Source organism: Homo sapiens, chromosome 3, assembly GCF_000001405.40.
Source record: "Homo sapiens chromosome 3, GRCh38.p14 Primary Assembly".
NCBI lineage: Eukaryota > Metazoa > Chordata > Mammalia > Primates > Hominidae > Homo > Homo sapiens.
This window is the reverse complement of record NC_000003.12, coordinates 26166537-26191657: the sequence shown is the minus strand read 5'-3', so window position 1 is coordinate 26191657 and position 25121 is coordinate 26166537. Positions and strand designations below refer to the sequence as shown.

Below are 25121 nucleotides of genomic sequence, written 5' to 3'. Positions count from 1 at the left end.
GGCTGGGTGTAAGAAAAAGTGAGTAATAAGGAATGATTCCCAGGCCTTTGACTTCAGCACATAGATAGATGGTGGTACTCTATACTAAGACAGGGGACCAGAGGGATGAGAGAATAGAAACTCTGTCAAGGGTTCTTAGTCATGCTAAATTTTAGGGGCGTGTGAATCTGGAACTCAAAAGAGAAGTTAGGCTAGATATATTGATTGCATAATATAAAACGTCTATATAATTCTGTGCATGTGTGTGGTGTGTGTGTCTGTATAAATTTAAAGTCATGAGATTAGATGAGGCCACCGAAGAATACAGACAAATAGCAGGAAAACTAAAACTGCTGTGGGACAGTCCAAAAGAAAAGAGTTTGAGGAGACAAAGAAGGAAACAGAGAGGTCAGTGAAGTAGAAAAATAACCTACTATATGGAATCACATAAACCAAGAGAATAAAGTGTTTCAAGAAGGCAGGCAGAGAAAACTGTGTCCAAATTCACAGAAAGATTGAGAAGGATGAGGACAGCAAATGACCATTGATTTGTTAATATAGAGGTCATCCATGACCTTCCCAAGAACAGCTTCAGAGCACTGGTAGAAAAAGAAGGTCAATCAAAATCAGTTAAGGAGGCAGGAGGGAAAAAAAAAACAATGGCAACATTAACACCTTCGATCTTCTTTTTGGTGAAAGTGAGCACAAAAATGGGGTGGTGGTTAGAAGAGGACCCATGGTGTAGAGGTGGTTTTGTTGTTGCTATTGTTTGGAGATGAAAGAACATGTTTACATGTATACAGGAGGGATTCAATACAGCAGGAAACACTGGTTATAAAACAGATAGGGGAGTATAGCTATGGAAGTGACGTCTTCAGAATATGAGAGGAACGGAACCTAGATCACAGTGGAGGAACTGCTTTTTGAAAACAGCAGGAAATCGCCTAGGTTTTCTTCTAGGGTTTGTATGGTTGTAGGTTTATGTTTAAATCTTTAATCCATCTTGAGTTCATTTTTGTATAAGGTGTAAGGAAGGGGTCCAGTTTCTGTTTTCTGCATATGGTAGCCAGTTTCCCCAGCACCATTTATTAAATAGGGAATCCTTTCCCCATTGCTTGTTTTTGTCAGGTTTGTCAAGGATTAGATGATTGTAGATGTGTGGTGTTATTTCTGAGGCCTCTATTCTGTTCCATCGGTCTATATATCTGTTTTGGTACCAGTACCATGCTGTTTTGTTTACTGTAGCCTTGTAGTATAGTTTGAGGTCAGATAGTGTGATGCCTCCAAGCTTTGTTCTACTTGCTTAGGATTGTCTTGGCTATACGGGCTCTTTTTTGGTTCCATATGAAAATTAAAGTAGTTTTTTTCTAATTCTGTGAAGAAAGTCAATGGTAGCTTGACGGAAATAGCATTGAATCTATCAATTACTTTGGGCAGTACGGCCATTTTCACAATATTGATTCTTCCTCTCCATGAGCATGGAATGATTTTCCATCTGTTTGTGTCCTTTCTTATTTCCTTCAGCAGTGGTTTGTAGTTTTCCTTGAAGAGATCCTTCACATCCCTTGTAAGTTGTATTCCTAGGTATTTTATTCTCTTTGTATACTATGCAGCCATAAAAAAGAATGAGTTCATGTCCTTTGTAAGGACATGGATGAAGCTGGAAACCATCGTTCTCAGCAAACTAACACAGGAACAGAAAACCAAACACCACATGTTCTCATTTATAAGTAGGAGTGGAACAATGAGAACACATGCGTACAGGGAAGGGAACATCACACACCGGTGCCTTTCAGGGGGTGGGGGGCAAGGGGAGGGATAGCATTAGGAGGAATACCTAATGTAGATGACGGGTTGATGGGTGCAGCAAACCACCATGGCACATGTATACCTATGTAACAAACCTGCACGTTCTGCACATGTATCCTAGAACTTAAAGTGTAATTTAAAAATAAATATTATTAAAATAAATAAAACTATTGTTTAGAGTTTTCTGAAAAAAAGAAAAGAAAAGAGCACAGAAGATATAGCACTAATGGCCATAACTCCAAAAAGGTGGAACACCAGCAGAAGCCTAGGGTGATTGAATCCATAAAACATGAACACCCCGGAATATCTGTGGACACTCAGAGACTTTGGTCCTCAAATTTAGATCCTCAGCTCAGTCTCCAGCAAGACCTGTATTTTCATAACCCAATTCTGATCCTTACCATCTCTTTCCCTCATCAAAATCCCACTTTTTCTCTACTCCAAATTCTCATCACCTTTAAAAGTGTAATTCAATACTGCCTTCTTCCAGTAGCCATCTCTAGCTGCTTCCACAGACATGAATTTCTCATTTCTCTGAATTTTAAAAGTTCTATGCAGCCTGCATTCAGTACTTTTTTATCTACTATTGTGATCCCTAAATGTTTCCTACTTCAGGTATTTTTTGCACAATAGGATCAGAGCTCTATGAGGATAGTGAATACATTTTTAAATATCTGGTCTCCTGTGGTGCCTAAATGTAGGTGAGAATGCTATTATGTCTCAAAAACTGCCTGCTCGCTAATGGATTATAGTGGACATAGGCAGAATGAATTAGGACACAGATTGCAGAACAAAATTTCCAGTGAATATCAATCATTATCACACCATTAACTCCAAACTGTAGTTAATGTAAGGTGGATTAAACTCTTCAGGTGTATGTGACAGGGTGCTGCAACCATTTCCACTCCTATTTAGAAAAATATATCTGGCCCAGGCCAATTGTGCCAGAGCTCCTCTGACACGGAAACATTCACTCTAAAATTATCACTCATGCGAATTCCCACGTTTATTAAGGAAATATTATAATACTCATCCTTGAAAGTCATGTTTATTGACTTCATTTTTTGCAGTAGGATCTGTCACATTTTTTCAAACTGCATAATAGACAAGATAAACCAGCACATGGTTAACGTATTTCCAAAAGTGAAGGAGGATTTTGTGGTGCGTTGATAAAAACTAATTACATGTCATTGTTATTTCCAATAAAGGAAATTGTTTTTATTTTCTTAGAATCCCCAATTACATTGCTGTTGAATTATGAATGTTCTCTTAAATGATTTATATCTTGATGAGATTGGCATGTACTGAAACTACAGCTCATACATTCTTCGCTGCTCCTTCTGTTATCTCTATGCCCTTCTTCATGACTATCTCCAGTTAGATTTAAGGTATGGCAACTTCTGGATCTATTTCGGTGTTAGGGATGATCTGATATAGAAAACCAGTTGTGTACGCATTTGGTGATGGCTTCAGGCCTCCTTCACTGGTGGGCATCTCAATAAAAACAGTGTTCAAGAAAAATGGTGGGGTTCATTCTCATTAGCTAGCTCCAAATATGTCATATCAGAAAAATTTTAAACCCATGCAAATGAAGAAAAAGCTAAATTTTCAATAAATTTACAACTGGATTATATTTTATTATAATATGAAATGCTTGCCAGAGTTCCAATCCCTGACCCCCTCTCCACCCAACCACCACACGCCCCATTCTCTTAAGTATGCTTTTTGGATTATTTAAGCTGTTTGTGCTTAAAGAGCAAACTCTCCAAGTCCGGGCTGCCAACCAATATACACTTGATGCTTTTGGCCCATCCACAGGATGGGTTGGGACAAGAAAATGGTAGGAAGGGCTGGCAAGGGGGACAGAGTGATACGGCAGTTATTTAGAAGTCATTACCTCAAGTATAGAAAAGGCAAAGGTTATCAAACAGAACATTCTGCAGACCATAAAGGTGAGACGGGAAATGCTATTGTTCCTTGTAGTAATTTGCGGTATTTTACTAAACGATTTTCATCACTGAGAGGTATTACTTCACATGCAAGAAATATAATGGTCTTTTAAGTCATGCTGAAGGTTTATTTAATGCTCTTGAAATTATCTTAGTTTAAATATCTTCCTGGCTTTTCCTTAATTAATTCTCATTTCTTCCTTACCTTTCCTCCTACTCCCTAACCATACTTCTACCAAATCCCTGTAGAATCAACTGGGAAAAATGTCAGAAAATTCCTCTTCAAGGAAATCTACGCCATAGGAGAAATGATAAAATTTTGCACCATTTTACATTTAAAACTAATTATTTCATTTTCAGAAAACAAATTGGAATTGAATAAAGAGTCTATCTAGGAAAACTATTTTCCCTTTCTTTGAATTTCTTGTTAGATGTGAACATGAGAAAAGTTACTTTTAATGCAATTGGAAAGCCGTCATTTGATCAAAGGTGCAAAAGCACATTCCTAAATTGGTTTAGGATCATTGCATCTTATATCTGCTCTAATCCCCTGAGAGACACAATTTCCAATTAACAGTGGAAAGCTTGGCATATAGAAAAGAAATGTTCTTTCTCACAGTGAGCAATACTTTTCCAGTGCTGTTCCTTTGTCCAATCTTCTCTGTGGACTTTAGTTGATCTACCCTGTTAGGGTTAAGCTTCTTGGGAAACATTTACAAGGAAACCCCTCCAGACACACTCATGCAGTTAATTACCCTCTCTTTTGTACCATTGATAAACTTGGTACATGCTTACATGAGCTGCCCTTACCACCTATGGCACCATTATTTATTTGTTCATCAAAACTGCTCCAATATACTATGAGCACCTTGAGGACAGGGATTGTCCCTTATCTGCAGTCATATTCTCATTGCACCTAGCAAGTACTAAGCAGATATCTGATGAATTAATGGTTCTCCTCTCCATTATTACTAATTATATGATCCTGGAAGTGTTATATAGTCTCCCTATACCTCAGTTTCTTTATATGTGTTTAATAATATAAACCTTATTGTGTTGTGAGAAGGAGCAAATAAAAAGAGACTACAAAAAATGCTCATCAGCATGCCTGGCCCATAGAAGGAGCTTGTGGCAGACAATGCTGATTACCTAACCACAGACCATTTCTCTTGCTAATAAGTGCTAGGTGGTATGGGCAGCAATGTGTTCAGAAAAGGCCAACCCACCCTCCACTCCCAGACGGGGAACTCATAATTACTGATTAAGAAGTGAACATAAGACTTGATCTCAGTTAATGAAACAAGGGAATTCTGCTGATGGTTTCTTGGATCAACTTCTTTGATAAAAGAGAGACTCAGGAGGAAAAAGATTGACCCCATTCTGGCTTCCATGATGTTGTTTTATAAGCTGTGGACTCCATCTTGCTACCATGAAAGGAAAGCCAAGAGAGTTACGGAGAAGCCAACTCAAGGGACCTGATGTCTATGAGGTGCTGTATTAATCAACTCTGAAACTTCCTCCCTGTAGATATTATAGTATGTGAGAAAATTGAATGTTCTTCTGTTACTTGAAAGGAAAAAAATCCTAAATAATAAAATGTTCAATAAATTCCAGCTATTTATTATTATTATTAATGGTTTTAGCCAGTACTAATGCTCTCTGACCAATCTTTACTACCACAGGAAGTAGGCTTCCCTAAAATTATCCCATACCTTCCTTGGTGTTATTTACAAAATAGGAATTCAGCAAGACAAGACTCCCTTGCCTATTTAGAAAATCTAAAAGGAAGGTATCAGGTATCCACAGTCCCTACCCATTCCTTAGTAGTAAGACCAGGGTAACGTAGTACAAATGAAGATAAATTTAGCTTATAAAATTTTTCAATATTTCGTTGATCTTTTTGACCTGCTAAAAACCTGAAACAGGTGCCCTGTGGCAAGCATCTCTCAAAGAAGTTGAATCAAAGTAAACTCAGTCAACAAAATCTTCTTCAAGCTCTTCTCAATTGAGCTTTTCTCCCTCTATCTACCTAGCTGGGATAGGTTGAGGGCTGCCCTCTGAAGAAATGTCTTCAAATTTTCATTTGTTTTTTCAGATTTACTCACATCTCTTGTTCTATAACACTGCAAATAGATTGTTGAAGGCTTCAGACTTCTCCAAGCACTCCCAGGCTTTTAAGCACATATTATGTTATACTAGGCTTGCTCATCTTCCCTACAACATCCACCATGGTACATCAAAGACCTCCAATGTGGATAAAATATCTATGTTATTGTTGTACATGTTGAACATCTTTATTATAATGCGTAACAAAAAATAAAAGATTGGATGGGATAGATATTCTCCTTCTGAAAGCTTCTGAATCAAACGGGAATGGTATTCCCTGCCACATACATATCCCATGGATCACTCAGATCCCAGCATACTCAACAACATAAAATGGGGTCATTTGTGTAGGGTTTATAAGATGCTATGACAACCGTATAAGGGTAGGGTAACGCCAACGGACAATATAGTAACTGGGAACAGTAGCAGCTAAGCGATTGCCACCCTCAGGGCAGAAGGAAGAAGGAAATGGGGAAGAGTCAAGCACTATAAAGAAATCTGCCCTTGGAGTGACCTCCAGTTAAGGAACACAGCCAGCCTAAGGGCAGTTTTCATGAAAGGATTTAAAAACTTGGTCTTACTATTTTCCTTGTTTCTGACCTTGGACTGGGCCTACTCATTGGTCAGTAACCAGAGGACAGGGGAGCCCTATTGATGAAGTCCATATAGATCAGCCTGTGAGACAGAGAAGAGGTGGTATGAAGTAGATAATAGATCTGGAGAGGCACACCCAATGCGCAAAATGGGTTTATTGTGAGAAGAGAGGTATTGTGTCAGAGATGGTTAACTTTCTGAAGAGTATATTCTATTGTACTGGCAAGGTGTAACGGGGAGAGAGAAAAAAAGAGAAAGCAGAATCAAAAACCTTTTATCCTTACCTACATTTGCTTGAATATCAGGTCTCTCCCTATTTCAGGCCAATTATTAGGGCTCTAGAATGCTAACAGAAATTTAGATTTGAGTGAGAGCTACGGGAAGGGCACAACTGGAGGTAGAGAAGGTGCAGGAAAATGGAAATGAGACGTCAATTTCTCTTTCTCTGTGGCTGTCAGGAGTTGCAGTACGTTTTTTTACTGGACTAGTTGAAAACTGTGCTTCTAACTCTAAGCTATAGAAAAAAATTTAAAACACTCTAATTTAACCTATTCTTAGTTGGATACTGATCCAGCCATTTACAAAACAATACACAAAACTTGGTAGATAAACCAGTTCTACCTGTGTGAAGATGGCAGTATCCATTTCTACCTGAGTATATTTATCGACCTAAATTTATTTAGAAACATCTAGACAAAGAAACTTAGTAATTCAGTTTTGCCTAGCATCAGCCTTTGGCCGTAACTGAAGTAATTAAACTGTTTAAATATGTTTTGCCAATTTTAAATTTTTTTCTTAGTCAAGTAAAAACATAGAATTTCTCTTCAAAAATTTGAGGTCTGGGCCGGGCGTAGTAACTCACGCCTGTAATCCCAGCACTTTGGGAGGCCAAGGCGGGTAGATCACCTGATGTCTGGAGTTTGAGACCACCCTGACCAACATGGGGAAACCCCATCTCTACTAAAAATACAAAAATTATCCGGGTGTGGTGGCAGGCACCTGTAATCCCAGCTACTCGGGAGGCTGAGGTAGGAGAATCGCTTGGACCCTGGAGGTGGAGGTTGCAGTGAGCCACTATCGCGCCACTGCACTCCAGCCTGGGGGACAAGAGCGAGACTTTCTCTCAAAAAGCAAAAAAAAAAAAAAAAAATTGAGATCTGATATATAAGGCTAAATCCAACTATGAACAACTCTAGTCCTTCTCCTCTCATCAAACATCCCAGTTTGTGGCAAACCTCCTTCCAGACCTTTTTTCCAGATTTTTGAATATATGTATATAGAAAGATATATTTCATGAAAATTATGTGGTACTGTATAAACAGTGCTGTACTGTACATATAATTCTACAATTTCTTTTTTCATTCAATAAAAGGTATTGCAGATATAGTGATATTAATTCAAACAGCATTTATTACATTCCTTTTAATATTAGCATAAATGTACCAGATTATTTACTTATCCACCTATTGATGGGCATTTAAATCGATTCTATCTGGGGAATATAAACAATGCTACAATGAATAACTTTCTACATGTTTTTTTGAGCACAGTTACAATTAGAAAGACATGGAGTTGCTAATTCGTAAGTGTTGTAAATAGTCTCTGAAGATGGCTACCCATGGTCTAGGGGTGTTTCTGTTGTTGTTATTATAATAAATTCCTATCTCCATATAAACTCATGTTGCTCCTCACATCAAGAGGCACGGTCTAATTCCCATCTGCCTGAAAATGAGCCTGGCCTTAGTGACTTACATGACCAATAGAATGTGATAGAAATGATTTTCTTGAACTTCTGAGGCCAGGTTATAAGAAGCTTTACGGTTTCCACCTGAGCCTTTGAAATACTTGTTCTAGAAAGCCAATCACTATGTAAGAAGTATGACTATGCTGAGATTCCTGTCCTTCTAGAAAGCCCAAGCTAGCCATGTAAAAGATGATGGGAGTTGGGAGAAAAGCCAGTCAGTCCCCATTCATTTCAGCTATCCTAACTGAAGCTCAGACATGTTATGAGCGAAAAAGTCATCTTAGAATGTTTACTTTCCAGGTCAAGTGTTTTTATAACTCCAGCCCTAGGTACTGTCTGGTTGCCACATGAAAGACCCAATGGGAACCACTCAGCTGAGCTCAGTCAAGCCACAGAACTACAAGAGACACTAGCAAATTCTTTTAAGCACTAAAGTTTGAGAATTTTTTATGTAGCAGTAGATAACTGAAACAATAGGGTATACTAATTTTTATATTTAATAAATGCTTCCCAATTGTCCTCCAAGGTGGCTGTATCTTTTACTTTTCTACCATTAGTACATAAAGATTCCTATGTTCCTACAACCCATCTTTTTACACTGAGAAAGATTATGAACCATTTTTCTAGCTGAACTTTTTACTTTGGTGCCAAAGCCAAAAAAACTTTTGTAATTTCTATTTGCAATTAGGAGCTTTTGCTGTTTCTCTTGTGCCCAACACACAGACAGGGAAAGACAGTTTTGTCCGTCAAATCAGTGAGTTAGAGAGCTTCTTGTTTATCCTCAAAACCGTGAAAATGGCTCATGGAAATTGTAATGTCTGGTTATCTGGAATTCCAAATTTGCAAGCCATGTTGTTCAAAAGCAATGCTTGAAAAATGACTCTGGATCACTTTCCAGTGGTCAGTCTGAGGCTGACCCCAGCTCCACACATGCTGCAAGAAAGCTCATCTCAAGATGATAATGGTTCTAAATACATAACTCCACTCTTTTCATCTCTACAATCCAATTAAATGCAAGCAAGCCCAACCACTGTCAGAAAATGACTACAAAGAATTGGGTCAATGCACCTCCATGAGATTTTCTTCTGGGCTAATCACAGGGTCAGTCCAATTATTTTCAGTGATTTGGAGGGTGACAGAAAGGCTATCCTTCAATGCTCTCACTTAACTGCTTGTAGCTATTCAGTCTTGGTGCTAAGGCCATAGAATATCGTGTTGCCAGCATGGACAGAGTGTATATCTACCAGTGATCCTGGCCAGGAAAATCTCTCCTTTCTGTGACACCTTTATGTCCCCAGAGAAATACATCACCCTGCTTCTCTAGTTTGTTTTTCTATAAAATAACCCCCCAAAATGGCATTATTTTATGATAAATGTCATGTGTGGTTGTTTAATATAATCATGCAATGTAAATTTTTCTATATATTATGTATACATATAATGCAGATATTTCTATATAATAATCATGCAATGTATTTTTCAAATCCTTCCCTCTTAGTCTCCCCTTTCTCAGTAATAGCTCTTTTGATAACTAGGGTGATTTTCCTTCTAGACATATTCCTATGCCTTTTTGCATTATTATTTCTATGTGTTGTTGGATGAAAGGATCTAATGCATTCCTATGCATTGCTATTTCTATGTGTTGGTGTTGCACAAGCATGAGATAATAATAATGTTTTGCAACCATTATTTTTCACTTACCCATATATTGTAGACTCCTGTCACAGGTACAAGTGTTTGTCTCATTTGTTCTTCCCTAACAACTGCATAGGGCTTCACTGCCCCATTATTTCTAATGGGAATTATGGAAAATTACTGGAGAAAAATGGTCTCTCACCTTTTCATTCCAATTGTTCACCCCAGAGTGTGATCTGTAAGTGCTTCAAAGAAGACTAGAGCAACAAGCAGTTTAGAAATTGGGAAAAACAGAGAGAAAAAAAAAAGAATGGCAAAACAGAGAAATTCATGAAGGCGTGGGGATTCCATGTGGATCCTATGGTCATTGACTCAGGTTAGAAAGTAAAAAGAATGAATGACACGGTCTGTGCCGACATTTTTCATGTTAGCATCAACATGTTTTAGCTGGGGCTTAAGAACACTAATACTAGCATCTTTTCTTTAAGAAAAGGCAGTGTTATTATTTAAAAGAATATGGTGCAATCCCATTAAAGCACAGGAATTATTATATGTTCTCTTGCACTGAGACATACTGCGCATTGCATTGTGTTCTCCAAAATGGAACTGAATATAGGAAAATTCTTGCTATTACAAGACCTTCCAGTAAGATAACCAACTGTTGGGTTTCACTAACATCATCATTTTAAAGATATTAATAATAGTTAGTCACTGTCAGCATTACAAAGTCATCACAAAAGACTTTATTTACCCTCTAAAAATATTTATTTTGTTATTAATAATGAAACAAATAAAGACTGTTTTGAATAGTGAAGCAACAAAATATACCCAGCTTTGACCTGAGGGTCTTTGGGCCAATGAGTAGAGACAGATTTTTTTATTGTTGATATTATTTAGGTATCATGAGAGAAATAATACTTCATAACCATTGATTAGCTAAGAAGTTTCTCATTAGTGAATTTAGGACCTATCCAGGAATCAGCTTGACTGTTTCAGTAAACCAAAAATAATTTAGTGACACTAACAAAAAAAAACCTGTTTTTTCAAGTCAAATTAATACCAATCAAAGGAAATAAAAGGATAAAAGTTGCAATGTCCCTGTTTATTTCCTTCAAGATCAAACGTAGGAAAAGCTGACTCAATCCTATGGGCACTCACATGGCAATTGCAACTGCCGAAAAGAGAGACTAACAGTAAGGAAATAAAAAAACTCTGAGCATCCAAAAGGCCTGCCACAAAATCAGAACATCAAATATTGGGCAGTTTATTCAGGGGGTCACTGAGGTCTTCAGGCAGAACTGTGCAGTTTGGATCCGATCTTTAAAAGCTTGCTTATCTGGTTTCTTAATTCATAAAGGATTAGAAATGGCCACCTAGGGAAAGTAAAAAAGACTGGCCAATATTGATAGACAAATTGACATTAACAAGAAATATAAGAAACAAAGAATACGTGAAGGAAGACATACTAATTCCTAACAGCTTGGGGCAATTTAGAGATGAAGCAAACAGTTCCAGAGATCTCAAAGCATGGAGAAAAGTTTGTTCATACTCTCTTCAGCATACTGTGTGTAAGAAAGCAGAAAAATGTGGAATACATTTTACACAGACTTTCACTTAAATATTAAACAGAGGTAGAGGGAGAAACAGAGACAGAGAGAGAGAGAGAGAGAGAGTGTGTGTGTGTGTGTGTGTGTGTGTGTGTGTGTGTGTGTGTGTGTTTGTGTGTGTGTGTGCGCGCGCCCCCATGTTTGCTGCTTAAGTTTTAAGAAAAATGTAGGCCGGGTGCGGCGGCTCATGTCTGTAATCCCAGCACTTTGGGAGGCCGAGGCGGGTGGATCAAGAAGTCAGGAGATGGAGACCAGCCTGACCAACATGGAGAAACCCCATCTCTATTAAAAATACCAAAAAAATTAGCCGGGCGTGGTGGCCAGCGCCTGTAGTCCCAGCTACTCTGGAGGCTGAGGCAGGAGAATGGCGTGAGCCCGGGAGGCTTAGCTTGCAGTGAGCCAATATCGTGCCACCGCACTCCAGCCTGGGCGACAGAGCAAGACTCCGTCTCAAAAAAAAAAAAGAAAAGAAAATGTATTAAGGCTCCACTCCATGTGTTATCTCACAAGGTACTAACTTTCCATATCCAGATTTATTCAGAGAAGGAAGGAAGGAGCTTTTCACATATGTAAATAGAGGCAACCCAGTTACCTCTAGGTTATCGTCTCCTCTCCAAAGCATTCTATTAGCTTGTTGTGTAAAATGTTTCTCTACATACTACAGTGTCTCCCTTTGGAGAGCCTTGCCCACTCACACCCTTAAAATGTGTATGGAAGGCTGAGTGAATCCCTCGAAGACACCAAAACAAGACGTTGATCGCAAAGGTTAATTGGCAAGACAGAAAGCTCGAATAAACTAAAGTTCCTATTACGTCTTACAGAAAGATAGATATTGGAAAAGCAGTTGGGAGAAAGGGAGTGGATTTAGAAAGCACCTAGTCTAAGAGATTTTTATATTGTGTTCCAGGTAGCCCTCGATTCAGAAGAAGTGCTTCAGGGACCATTTTAGGGAAGAAGAGGAAGACCAAGCAGATTGAGGGCAACTCCAGACCCATACAAACACACTTGCGCCAAAGCAGCCCTGCTTTCATCTGTCTGTCATGTCTGATAGTCTATAAAATTTTATTTTATGAAACATTCTATAGCCAAAAAATGGAAGTTTTAAAATCACTAATTATAAGCTAGATATAATGTGCTTAGTCATAAATAAATAATTTCAAATGTGTAAAACAGAAAGCTAAATGAGATTGAGGGAGTAAGGTGGATCATGGCAGATAAGAGGCAGGACTAGATTGCAGCTCTGACTTGGGTGGACAGAGTAGTGTGTAGAGGCTCGCATCATGAATTTTTGCTCCAGAAAGATTGCAGGAATAAATCGGGAGACCCGAGAGGACCCGCAGACCCTCTGAAGAAAGTGAATTGTTCCTGCAGAAAAGGGAGACACCTCAAATACTGTGCTGGTATCCATAGTTAAGAGACCCCCAGAAGATTCACATCACAGGACTCTGTGCAGACAACCCCCAGGACCAGCCCAGAGCCTGATAGACTTGCTGGTTGGCTAGATCCAGAAGAGAGATAACAATCACTGCAGCTCAGCTCTCAGGAAGCCACATCCATAGGAAAAGGGGGAGAGTACTACATTAAGGGAACACCCCGTGGGACAAAAGAATCCGAACAACAGCCATCAGCCCTAGACCCTCCCTCTGACAGAGCCTACCCAAATGAGAAGGAACTAGAAAACCAACTCTGGTAGTGTGACAAAACAGGGTTCTTTAACACTCAAAAAAAAAAAATCACACTAGATCTCCAGCAATGGATCCAAAACAGGAAGAATCCCTGATTTACCTGAAAAAGAATTCAGGAGGTAAGTTATTAAGCTAATCAGGGAGGCACCAGAGAAGGGCGAAGTGCAATGCAAGGAAATCCAAAAAATGATATAAGTAGTGTAGGGAGAAATATTCAATAAAATAGATAGCATAAATAGAAAACAATCAAAACTTGGAAACACTGGACACACAGAAATGCAAAATGCTCTAGAAAGTTTCAACAATAGAATCAAACAAGTAGACGAAAGAAATTCAGAGCTCAAAGACAAGGTCTTTGAATTAACCCAGTCCAACAAAGACAAAGAAAAAATAAGAAGAAAATATGAACAAAGCCTCTTGGATTATGTTAAATGAACAAACTTAAGAATAATAGACATTCTGGAGGAAAAAGAGAAATCTAAAAGTTTGGAAACCATATTTGGGGGAAAAAATTAGGAAAACTACCCTCGTCTTGCTAAAGACCTAGACATCCAAACACAAGAAGCACAAAGAACAGCTGGGAAATGCTTCACAAAAAGATCATTGCCTAGGCACATAGTCATCAGGTTATCTAAAGTTAAGATAAAGGAAAGAATCTTAAGACCTGTGAGACAGAAGCACCGGGTAACCCATAAAGGAAAACCTATCAGATTAACAGCAGATTTCTCAGCAGAGACCCTGTAAGCTAGAAGGGATTGAGGCCCTATCTTTAGCCTTATAAAGAAAACAATTATCAGTCAAGAATTGTGTATCCAGAGAAACTAAGATTCATACAGGAAGGAAAGATACGGTTTTTTTCAGACAAACAAATGCTGAGAGAATTCACTACTACCAACACACTACTACAAGAATTGCTAAAAGGAGCTCTAAGTCTTGAAACAAATCCTGGAAAAACATCAAAAAAAGCATACATCTCACAGGACCTATAAAGCAAAAATACAATTTAAAAAACAAAAACAACAAAAAACCAAGGTATACAGGCAACAAATAGCATGATACCTTACATCTCAATACTGACATTAAATTAAATGGCCTAAATGCTCCACTTAAAAGATACAGAATAGCAGAATGCATAAGAATTCACCAACCAACTATCTGTGGCCTTCAAGAGACTCACCTAACACATAAAAACTCACATAAACTTAAGGTAAAGGAATGGAAAAAGGCATTTAATGCAAATTGACACCAAAAGTGAGCAGAAATACCTATTCTTATACCAGACAAAACAAACTTTAGAGTAACAGCAATTAAAAGAGACAAAGGACATTATATAATGATAAATGGCCTTGTCCACCAGGAAAATATCACAATTCTAAATATATATGCAGCTAACACTGGGGCTCCCAAATTTATAAAAAAGTTACTAATAGACCTAAGAAATGAGATAGACAGCAACACAATAATAGTGGGAGACTTCAATACTCCACTCACAGCACTAGAAGAATCATCCAGACAGAAAGTCAACAAAGAAACGATGGATTTTAACTATACCTTGGAACAAGTGGACTTAACAGGTATATACAGAACATTCCACCCAACAATTACAGAATATACATTCTGTTCAACAGTGCATGGAACTTTCTCAAAGATAGACCATATGATAGGCCACAAAACGAGCCTCAATAAATTTAAAAAAAAATTAAAACTATATCAAGCACTCTCTTAGAACACAGTGGAAAAAAACTGGAAATCAACTCCAAAAGGAACCTTTAAAACCATACAAATACACGGAAATTAAATAACCTGCTCCTGAATGATTATTGGGTCAAAAACAAAATCAAGATGGAAATTAAAAAATTCTTCGAACTGAATGACAATTGTGACACAACCTATGGAAACCTCTGGGATACAGCAAAGGTGGTGCTAAGGGGAAAGTTCATAGTTCTAAACACCCACATCAAAAAGTCTGAAAGAGCACAAGCTTCCATTCTAAGATCATACCTCAAGGAACTAGAAAAACAAGAACAAACCAAACCCAAACCCAGCAGAAGAAAGGAAATAACCAAGATCAGAGAAGAACTAAAGGAAATTAAAACAAACAAAAATACAAAAGATAAATGAAACAAAAAGCTGGCTTTTTGGAAAGATAAATAAAATTGATAGACCATTAGCAAGATTAACCAAGAAAAGAAGGGAGAAAATACAAATAAGCTTAATAAGAAACAAAATAGGAGATATTACAACTGACGTCCCAGAAATACAAAAGATCATTCAAGCCTACTATCAACACCTTTATGCATATAAACTAGAAAACCCAGAAGAGATGGATAAATTCCTGGAAATACACAACCCTCCTAGCTTAAATCATGAAGATTTAGATACCTTGAACAGGCCAAAAACAAGCAGTGAGATTGAAATGGTAATTTTTTAAATTACCGACAAAAAAGTCCAGGACCAGAAAGATTCACAGCAGAATTCTACCAGACATTCAAACAAGAATTGGTATCAATCCTATTGACACTATTCCATAAGATAGGGAAACAGGGAACCCTTTCTTAATCATTCTGTGAAGCCAGTATCATCCTAATACCAAAACCAGAAAAGGACATAACCAAAAAAGAAAACTATAGACCAATATCCCTGATGAACACAGATGCTAAAATCCTTAATAAAATACTAGCTAACCAAGTCCAACAACATACCAAAAAGATAATTCGTGATGATCAGGTGGGTTTCATCCAGGGATGCAGGGATGGTTTAACATATGCCCATCAACACATGTGATAAACCACATAAAACAGAATAAAAACAAAACTCACATGATTATCTCAATAGATGCAGAAAATGCATTCAACAAAATCTAGCATCCTTTATGATTAAAACTCTCAGCAAAATCGGCATACAAGGACATACCCTATATTACATACATAGATATAATAAAAGACATCTATGACAAACCCACAGCTAACATAATACTGAATGGGGAAAAGTTGAAAGCATTCCCTATGAGAACTGGAACAAGACAAGGATGCCCACTCACACCACTCCTCTTCAACAGTACTGGAAGTCTTAGCCAGAGCAATCAAACAAGTGAAAGAAATAAAGGGCATCCAAATCAGTAAAGAGGAAGTCAAACTGTCACTGATGATGATATAACTGTTTACCTAGAATACTCTAAAGACTTCTTCAGAAAGTTCCTAGGACTGATAAAAAAAAAAATTCAGCAAAGTTTCTGGATACAAAATTAACGTATACAAATAAGTACCTTTTCTATACATGAACAGCAACAAAGCTGAGTCAAGAACTCAACCCCTTTTACAATAGCTGCAAAAAAATAAAATAAAATACTTAGGAATATACCTAACCAAGGAAGTGAAAGTCCTCTACAAGGAAAACTACAAAACACTGCTGAAAGAAATCATAGATGACAGAAACAAATAAAAACACATCCCATGCTCATGGATGGGTGGGATCAACATTGTAAAAATTACCATACTGCCAAAAGCTGTCTACAAATTGAATGCAATTTCCATAAAAATATCACCATCATTCTTCACAGAATTAAAAAAAAATTCTAAAATTCATATGTAACCAAAAAAGATTCCACATAGTCAAAGCAAGACTAAGCAAAAAGAACACATCTGGGGGCATCATATTACCTGATTTCAAACTATACTGTAAGGCCATAGTCACCAAAACAGCATGGTACTAGTATCAAAATAGGCACATAGACCCATGGAACAGAATAGAGAACCCAGAAATAAACCCCAGTACTTACAGCTAACTGATCTTTGACAAAGCAATCAAAAACATAAAGTGGGGAAAGGATACCCTTTTCAACAAATGGTGCTAGGATAATTGGCTAGCCACATGTAGGAGAATAAAACTGGATTCTCATCTCTCACCTTATACAAAAATCAACTCAAGATGGATTAAGGATTTAAATCTAAGATCTAAAACTGTAAAAATTCAGAAGATAACATTGGAAAAACCCTTCTAGACATTGGCTTAGGCAAGGATTTCATGACCAAGAACCCAAAAACAAATGCAATAAAAACAAACATAAGTAGCTGGAAATTCATTAAACTAAAGAGCTTTTGCACAACAAAAGGAGGAGTCAGTAGAGAAAACACACAAGCCACAGAGTGGGAGGAAATCTTCACAATCTATATATCTGACAAAGCACTAATATCCAGAATTACAACAAACTCAAACAAATCACCAAGCAAAAAACAATCCCATCAGAAAGTGGGCTAAGGACATGAATAGACAATTCTCAAAAGAAGATATATAAATGGACAACCAACATATGAAAAAATGCTCAACATCACTAATTATCAGGGAAATGCAAATCAAAACCACAATGCAATACCACCATACTCCTACAAAAATGGCCGTAATCAAAAAATCAAAAAATAGTAGATGTTTGCATGTATGTGGTGAACCAGGAACACTTCTACTTTGCTGGTGGGAATGTAAACTAGTACAGCAACTGTGGAAAACAGTGTGGAGGTTCCTTAAAGAACTAAAAGTAGAACTACCATTTGATCCAGCAATCCCACTACTGGGTATTTACCCGGAGGAAAAGAAGTCATTATAGGAAAAAGATACCTGCACATGCATGTTTATAGCAGCACAATTCATAATTGCAAAAATGTGGAACCAATCCAAATGCCCATCAACCAACAAGTGGATAAAGAAACTGTGGTATATATATATTCAATGAAATACTACTCAGTCCTAAAAAGGAATGAATTAATGGCATTTACAGCAATCTGGATGAGATTGGAGACTATTATTCTAAGTGAAGTGACTTAGGAATGGAAAACCAAACATCATATGTTCTCATTCATAAGTGGAGCTAAGCTATGAGGATGCAAAGGCATAAGAATGACAAAATGGACTTTGGGGACTCAGGGTGAAAGGATCAGAAGAGGGTGAGGGATAAAGGACTACAAACAGGGCTCACTGTATACTGCTTGAGTGATGGGTGCACCAAAATCTCACAAATTACACTGAAGAACTTACTCATGTAACCAAACACCACCTGTTCCCCAATAACCTATGGAAATAATAAACAAATAAATAAAGCAATAAAACAATAATGCAATACCATTTCATTTATCAAAGTGGCAAGGATTCTGATAGGGAGGGTTGGAAAGAGCAAGACATAGGCAGATGCTACTAACTGGAGTAGAAAGACCTGCACTGCTTTCTGGAGAATGGCTTGGCAACACTAGGGACCAAGAGCTTTAAAACAAGTCTATGTTTTCACCCTTTCACTCAGTGGTTTTACATCTAGAATTTAGCCTAAGGAAATAATTAGACAGCCATGCAAACATGTAAGTTCAAGAATATTTACCTCATCATAGTTTATCATTATGTTTAAAAATTGAAGGCCAGGTGTGGTGGCACACACCTGTAATCCCAGTGCTTTGGGAGTCCAAGGTAGGAGGATGGCTTGAGCCCAGGAGTTTGAGGTTATATTGAGCTATGCATGTGCCACTGCACTCCAGGCTGAGTGACAGAGCAAGACCCTATCTCTACAAAAAACAAAAAGCAAAATTGAGAACCACCTAAACATGATATAATAGGAAATTGGTTTGAATGAACTAGTAGAATACTGGGCAACCATTATGAATGATGCTAGCTCATGGGCTTCCTGATTTGATGCACTAAGAACACAACATCACTTCTGTGGCATTCCTGCCCAAAAATGCATGAACACCAGACATACCCAAATTTAGGAACAGTCTACAAAACAACTGACCTGCATGCTTAAAAATGTCAATATAATGAAAGGCAAAATACGTTTAAGGAACTGTACTCATATTAAAGGAAACTAAAAAGATTTGACAACTAAATGCAAGGTAGGATCCTAGATTAGAGCCTGGACCAAGGAAAAAAATTGTCATGAAGGACATTATGGGGCAAGCGGCAGAACCTGAATATGGACTGTAGATTAGATCATAGTATTATATCAGTATAAATTTCCTGATTTGAATAATTGTACTATATTATGTTAAAGAATGTTTTTGTTCTTAGAAAATTCACACTGATGCATTTAGGGTAAAGGGGTATCCTGTATGCAACCATATTAGTCCATTTTCATGCTGCTTATACAGACATACCCAAGACTGAGAAATTTACAAAAGAAAGAGGTTTAATTGGACTTATAGTTTCACGTGACTGGGGAAGCCCTACAATCACAGCAGAAGGCAAGGAGGAGCAAGTCATGTTTTACATGGATGGCAGCAGGCAAAGAGAGAGCTTGTGCAGGCAAACTCTTGTTTTTAAAGCCATCAGATCTCATGAGACTCATTCACTATCACAAGAACAGCATGGTAAAGACCCGCCCCCATAATTCAACCATCTCCCACTGGGTTCCTCCCATGATGGGTGGGAATTGTGGGAGTTACACTTCAAGAGAATTGGGTGAGGACACAGCCAAACCATGTCAGCAACTTACTCTCAAATGGTTCAGAAAAAAATACAAATGTGTATTTATAGAGAAATAATGATAGAGCAAATGTGGTCAAATGATATTAATGAATGAATCTGAGTGAAGGGTATCCTGGAATTCTTTTTAGTATTCTTGCCCCTTTTCCATGAATTTAAAAGTATTTCAAAATAAAAAGCTAAGAGAAGGAAAAAAAGAGATTGAGAAATAATACCACTTACGAACATTTAAAACACATATACTCATAAAGTCTACACATTTTATAGGAATACATGCACATTTAAGGACATAAATATGTTGAGTTCATTTCTATTTGAGGAAATAAAATAGAAGTGAGGATTGGGAAAGAAAGGGAAGGCCAAATGAATAAAAATTAGAAAAAAGAAGGCTCTTGAATGGATAATAGTGACAACCATATGCTATGACTTAAGGAGTTTATTCTCTGAATTTGGGACTCAAAGAAAAAAATCAGGATAAAATAAACTGCTAATGTAGTTCCAGCATTCACAATCTAAAACATCCTTTAAACATATTCTAGTTTCCAGGTGGTGACGCACCCTCTTCTTGAACACCTTCAACTGCAGTAATCCACAAGGGCCAGGGTTGTGACCCAGAAATTTCATCAATAGGATGTTCTTCCCTCTTCTAGTCCCTTGCAATCTGTACATTGGTAAGGATTTTGAGTCCTGAAATAATATTTCTACAAGCCTTGTTATCATGTGAACACTGTTATTGCAAACAAAAACTGATTAATGAGCACAGTAACAAGAGAGTTCTTAGAAAAATGGTGTGCCTCAGCTTAAAAAAGAAATTGACTACAAAAACATATGCACTAAGCCATCTTTGCACTCACAGTTTATGAACAGCCATTCACTACCAAGACACATATGGGCTATATCAGGGACACTAGGTTATCTGTCTTGGAAACAAGTGAACTGTTAAGATAGTGAAATTTATGCTTAAGGGGTGTAAAAACAATAAAATAAAATTTCAGGCTTTTAGACTTTGTGATGTAAAAAAAGAATAGACATGGAGACACAGCACAGTATATCAGCCAAAAGTTTTCCTTATGTCTAGCTAATCTAGACACATCTATTTTTTGTAACTATATATATATATATATATATATATGTATGAAGATATTTATATTCTTTATTATATCTATTACTAAATGTAGCCTCTGTGCTTTCAGAAATAGTCTCTAAAACACCAAATTTTCTAACTTCCCACTAACTTCCCAGTGAATTAAATCCAAAAGAAGTAACAATTCTACCATTAAAAATGTCTTTTCCAGTTTAAATTATCATTCAAAATTTCAGGTGTATTGAAACTGAAATACATTCATTAATCATTTTGATTCTCATACTTTTCTTTAGATTATCTTGAGTAGAAAGGTTGAATAAACAGAATGAAGAATCATTACATTATGCCTACGAAAATTTTTCAGTAAGTCTCTGAAAACTTGTGAATAAATCATCATTATTGCTTCTTTTCTTTCATCTTTTATTAACAGCATAGTTCTGTTGACTTTTTTCCTAATTTCTTGGACCTAAGTTTACTATTAGATTAGCCAAAGGAAACATATTGATCACTTAAATCCCTAGTTGGACTTTTGCCTAATCCCTTTACTTGTAAGATTCTACCTTTCTTTCCCTGTAAATTATTTGTTACAAATGAAAGTATAAAATTTCCCTAATCACCCAACATTTCCTGCTCAGGTTCTCATGATCCCTATGGAAAATGCTGATCCTGAGAGAACTTAATATATACACCTTCTGTAAGGTATTTCCTTAAAGTCTAAATTTAAGGTAATCACAAAATTGTATATTTCACAGTGCAAAAGAGAATCTAATAGAACCCATCACAACCTGGGGATTTCCTGTTTTCTCAATTAAAGGATTTTTCAGAGCTGAGACATCCATCCAAACTGAATTCATTTCAATATTTGGGGGATTAGAAATAAAGACAATCACATTTGCATTGCTTTATTGTTCAGTGTATAATCCTTCATAGTGGTGATCTAGTTCCATTTACTTTTATTTTTATGTGTTTTTGCATGATCTGTGTTTACTTTTTTTTTTTTTTTCTTTTGAGCCCGAGTTTTGCTCTTGTTCCCCAGGCTGGTATGCGACGGCGCAATCTTGGCTCACAGCAACCTCCGCCTACCAGGTTCAAGTGATTGTCCTGCCTCAGCCTCCCGACCTCAGGTGATCTGCCCGACTCAGCCTCCCAAAGTGCTGGGATTACAGGCGTGAGCCACCATGCCTGGCCTACTTTCATTTAACAATACTTAACACTAGAAAATTCCAATGTAAAAGTATATTGTGTGTATTTTTCTTCAAAATGCGAAAAGTCATACCATGGACAGCCACAGAATTGTCTTTGAGAAGTTGTCTTTGAATCTGGGCTCCATTATCCCTGAAATTATTTGAATACTTTCATTTATTACACTGGATAGGCCAGATAATGCAGAATAGAATTTTATAAATAATGGACTTCATTGGACTTCTAGGTTTTTACTTGTTTGTAAAAGAAGTTTATCAGGAAGTAGTCTTGAGAAAGGAGTAGAAGGACAGCAACCCATAATTAAGCCTATGGGGAATATATGGGTATTTAGGGTATGTATGTTCAAATGGGTAGGTCTGGAAAGTAAAAACTTTGCAAACTCTTAGATTCCTATGTGATATGGATGAAGACCTCAGCTAACTTAGTTATTATTGTATCCACAGAACTAAGTATAGTAACCAGCACATAGTAGATGCTCAATAAATGTTAAATACATTTATGAGCTATAAAAATAGAGTAAGTACATAGTATTCTGTTCAGGGGAGTGAGAAATAAATATAATTTCAGTTGTACCCAGAAGGAGCTTAGTATACTTGCACCTTTCAGGATAACACTAACGCATGACAAATCAGGGCTTGAGAAGAAATACCACCACTGAACAGAGTGCACTTCTAGAGGAGGAGGACCCTTGGAATGCCTTTCTGGTTCTTCTTTTTTTTTTTTTTTTTTTTTTTTTGAGACAGAGTCTCGCTCTGTCGCCCAGGCTGGAGTGCAGTGGCGCGATCTCAGCTCACTGCAAGCTCCGCCTCCCAGGTTCATGCCATTCTCCTGCCTCAGCCTACTGAGTAGCTGGGACTACAGGCGTCTGCCACCACGCCCGACTAATTTTTTGTATTTTTAGTAGAGACGGGGTTTCACCGTGTTAGCCAGGATGGTCTTGATCTCCTGACCTTGTGATCTGCCCACCTCAGCCTCCCAAAGTGCTGGGATTACACCACGCCCGGCCACCTTTCTGGTTCTTTGAAAGAGTGGTGGGTGAATCAGGGATGAATAAGGAGTACCAGAAGGACAGGACATCAGCCTGCAGAGATGTGGAAGGTTCATATGGGAAGGTAGCAGAATCCCTAATTGGAAAGGAAGGCTGAGACTTGTGTGCACGTGTGTGTGTGTGTGTGCACTTGTGTAAAAGGGAGTAGGGCTTGACTGGCAGGCCAGAAAGTCAGGCTTTAGTCATTAGGTATGATTGTACTGAGGAGGTTTCCATGAAGGGAAATGACAGATGCAGACAAGGTTTAAGCAAGATTAACCTGGTAAAATGAAAAATAAATTGGAGAGAAGAGAAGTTGGAAAAACAGGAGTATAGGGCATGGAACATAACAAGAACCCTTTGGATATTTACTCAATTGATGCGTGAAGGCAAAGAGTCCCCCTGAGCAACGCTGATTGACCAGACTCATTAAATACTTACAGGTTCTTTGAATCTGCACTTTCACTTCTGGGAATGTGTCCTATGGAAAAATAAAGATGTGAGGAAGGAATTGCCTACCAGTCTGCAAATTGCAGCATTCTTTAGACAATGTTAATCAAATTATGGAAAATTATGCAGCCATTAAAAATGATGTAAATGTACCTATAGAGAAGGAAAAATGCTCGCGACATATGAAGTGAAAAAGGTTTACAAAGACTACACAGAAGATGATCCCTAAATGAACATATATAATGTACACTCTGCACAACAAATCATTAACATTAGCTCTATCTAGCTGATGCAGTTAGAAGTGAATATTACTTTTTTCTAATATTTTCTGATATTTCTACATGAAAAGTTGTAATTAAAGTGTTTTTATAAAATAATAATTGAGGCATACAGGTCTAACGTTGGAGAATAAGATGGGTAGAAGTTAGAAAAAAAGGCAGGTGCCATAATTTACTATAGACTCACTTGTTTTCCATGGAGATGGGCAGTAAACAGCAGGAGAAAAATGGCACTGGCCTTCGTAGAAGCTCAATTCCAAATATGAGAGACATTTGCATAGATCTAAGAGACAATATTATAAAAATTACTCTTCTTCAAGGGAGAGGTTTGTAAAGCAGAAAGAGACAGAGAAAGAGAGAGAGAACCAAAGACTAAATATTTAGAGAAAAGAAGAGAAAGACGCTGAATGCATGAGGAAAAGCATCTTTATCTTTGATCCTCAGAACCTTCCAGAATATCCAGCAAATAGTGGCGTCTCCATAATCATAATCTTACAAAGAGATAAGTGGCCATAAAGAGGAGATGAAGATGAGGATAGGATGATGGGAAAGTTGCTAAGATATATAAGAATTTCAAGAAACAAGAGGTAGATAACAGAGCCAATGTTCTAGGGAGTGTATTTGAACTAAGGAAAAGTCACAAAGTTTGAAAAGTCAGCAGTCTTCCATGAGGTCCAGAAGTCTTAAAGAGTGTAATTTTTACGAAGCTGGAAGAAGAGGTCCACAATTTCAGAAATTTCAGCAAATGTCAGTAGTATTTTAAAAAAAAGAAGCAGAGTAGATATTTTACTCTAGCAACTTGCCACTTACACATCCATGTATCTAATCCACAAACATAAATTAAAGAACTATCGGAAGCACTGAGAGGCTGGGGACAACTGAGGGAAGCTGTCCCAGCAAGTATCCAGTGATAGGGTCAGTTTTATAAGGTGTGATTTCATAGAAGAGCAGTACCTCTCATCTGGCTAGGAAAAGAATGAAGAAAAGATGAAAAAAATTACAGCTCAACACTGAAGTAAAGAAAGGAGTGGATAAAAATTTTCCTTTTAATAATCTTCATTTTAAAAGTAAAGTAGCATAAGAAGTCATCTGTCAAGAGTCATAAGGGAAAGAGGATTCTGGCTTAAGGAATATGAAAAAACAATGGAAACAAACATTATAAAAATAATGCCAGAGAATTAAAAGGATTCCCAACGACAAACCAAAATGGATACACTATTAGGAAGCATAGGAGCCAAGCTACCATTGGGGAGCATGAAATGAATTGAGAGTCACCACTTTCATCAGCCATTACGTTATACTGAAGCTTGGAACAGTGAAGATAAAGGAGACCCTGAAGATGACTCAGGCTTAAACCAGCAAAAATTGATGAGCAAGTACAGAAGATACTCCTTGGAGCAAAGAAACCCAGGTTATTAAGGAAAAAACCTTTGATGGAGCCCACTTTGGTTTCCAGGAATAGCCAAGAGCTAAGTAGAGCCAGAAGAAAGCTATGTGACTAGATGAATTGGA

The 25121-nt window shown here is 37.5% G+C and overlaps 1 long non-coding RNA gene across 2 annotated transcripts in view; it reads right to left on the bottom strand.

The window, feature by feature from the left end:
* The window catches only part of LOC105377002 (uncharacterized), a 64826-nt gene that overhangs the window by 16818 nt on the left and 22887 nt on the right, over nucleotides 1–25121 (bottom strand). Inside the window, exons 3-4 of one of the 2 annotated variants that reach the window (XR_001740551.1) lie at nucleotides 23797–23892; nucleotides 23282–23362 (exon numbers count right to left, since the gene is read on the bottom strand). The exons of the other annotated variant lie outside the window; for it this stretch is intronic. This is a non-coding gene — a long non-coding RNA (uncharacterized LOC105377002). Of the gene's footprint in view, nucleotides 1–23281; nucleotides 23363–23796; nucleotides 23893–25121 lie in introns of those variants that run through there. 2 annotated transcript variants of the gene reach the window in all.